We start from the raw sequence: 1,739 nt of genomic DNA, 5'->3' as shown, positions 1-1,739 counted from the left end.
AAAAAAAAAGATACTCATTCAGAATTATCTCTATTCTGTAATGGCATCTACTCCAGAGCACAGACTCATTCCTATTTCCTCACCAACATTACACAAGCAGAAGTCCTTTTTAGGACTCTTCTATTGAGACACCTCACTATTCCCGATGCTGATGCTGTGTATTCTCCCTTGTTATATAATTAGTAAATCCAACTTATTGAACTACAGGTGTGTTCCTTCTAGGTTTTGGCAGGAGGGCATTGACAATTGGAATTGTCGGGTCATTTAATTAAAGGATCTCTCTTTCCATCTTTAACCTAAAGAGTCTATATGCAGGGTTTTGTTCTCCCAAAATAGATACCAGATGTTTCTATTATGAAAACAAATGCTGGCCAGGTGCGGTGGCTCACATCTGTAATCCCAGCACTTAGAGAGGCCAAGGCAGGTGGATCATTTGAGGTCAGGAGCTCGAGACCAGCCTGACCAACATGGTGAAACCCCGTCTCTACTAAAAATACAAAAAAAAAAAAAATTGTGGTGGCACACATCTGTAATCTCATCTACTCAGGAGGCTGAGGCAGGAGATTATCTTGAACCCAAGAGGCAAAGGTTACAGTGAGCCGAAATCGCACGACTCCACTCCAGCCTGGGTGACAGAGACTCCGTCTCAAAACAAACAAACAAACAAACAATGCTAAGTTTCACACAGTAGAAAAAATAAACGATTATCTCAGAAATTAGCTCCTTCTAGGACTTTCTTAAGCCTATACCATTATTGAACAGAAAAAAATTTCACAGCAACCACTTTTACAAGAGCCCCTTTTATGTCCTTGTTCCTCAGGCTGTAGATCAAAGGATTCATCACGGGAGTCACCACTGTGAACCTCACAGCAGCTGCTATATCTCTCTGAGCTGAGTGGGAGGATGAAGTTCTGAAATATGGAGACATGATGGTGCCATAGAAGAGGAGAACCACAGCCAGGTGGGAGCCACAGGTGGAGAAGGCTTTCCATCTTCCCTTTGTGGATGGGACCCTCAGGACAACGCAGGTGATGTGCATATAGGAAGCCAGGAGGCAAAGAAATGGGGTGATCGTGACTAGGGCAGCCTCAGTAAGAATCATCACTTCACTGAGGTGTGTGTCTGAACAGGAGAGTTTCAGGAGGGGAGTCACATCGCAGAAGATGTGGGGGATGGTGTTGTCTGCACAGAATGAGAGTCGAGCCATCAGCAGGGTGTGCAGCAGAGCATTCGAGTTGGCAACCACCCATGATCCAGTGACCAGCAGGGCACAGAGCTGATGGGTCATCTTTGCTGTGTAATGTAAGGGGCGGCACACGGCGACAAAGCGGTCATAGGCCATCACAGCCAGGAGGAAATTGTCCATGTCAGCAAGCTCACTGATAAAATACATCTGCATGAGACAGCCAGAGAAGGAGATGGTTTGAGTCCTGAGTATGTGATTGGCCAGCATCTTGGGGACGGTGGTGGAGAAGCAGTTGTCCACAAAGGACATGTTGCTGAGGAAGAAGTACATGGGGGTGTGCAGGCGGGAGTCTATGCTTATGGCCAGGATGATGAGCAGGTTCCCCAGGACAGTGGCCAGGTACATGCTGAGGAAGAACACAAAGAGGAGATGCTGCTGCTGGGGCTGCCTGGAGAGTCCCAAGAGGAGGAACTCGGAGACACTCACTGGTTTGTCCCTCTCATATGTCTGGACCCAGCTGCATAGAAGACAGTGAATTCAGAAACATACACAT

At 46.8% G+C, this 1,739-nt stretch overlaps 1 pseudogene across 1 annotated transcript; it reads right to left on the bottom strand.

Annotated features, from left to right (window-relative positions):
• Window positions 1-754: 754 nt before the first annotated feature.
• OR1F2P (olfactory receptor family 1 subfamily F member 2 pseudogene) lies at window positions 755-1,739 on the bottom strand (annotated as a pseudogene). Its single transcript, NR_002169.1, has one exon. The product of NR_002169.1 is annotated as an olfactory receptor family 1 subfamily F member 2 pseudogene (transcript).

This window comes from Homo sapiens, chromosome 16, assembly GCF_000001405.40.
Source record: "Homo sapiens chromosome 16, GRCh38.p14 Primary Assembly".
In the NCBI taxonomy this organism is placed as follows: Eukaryota; Metazoa; Chordata; class Mammalia; order Primates; family Hominidae; genus Homo; species Homo sapiens.
Note: the sequence above shows the minus strand (reverse complement) of the source record. Positions and strands in the feature narration are given on the sequence as shown.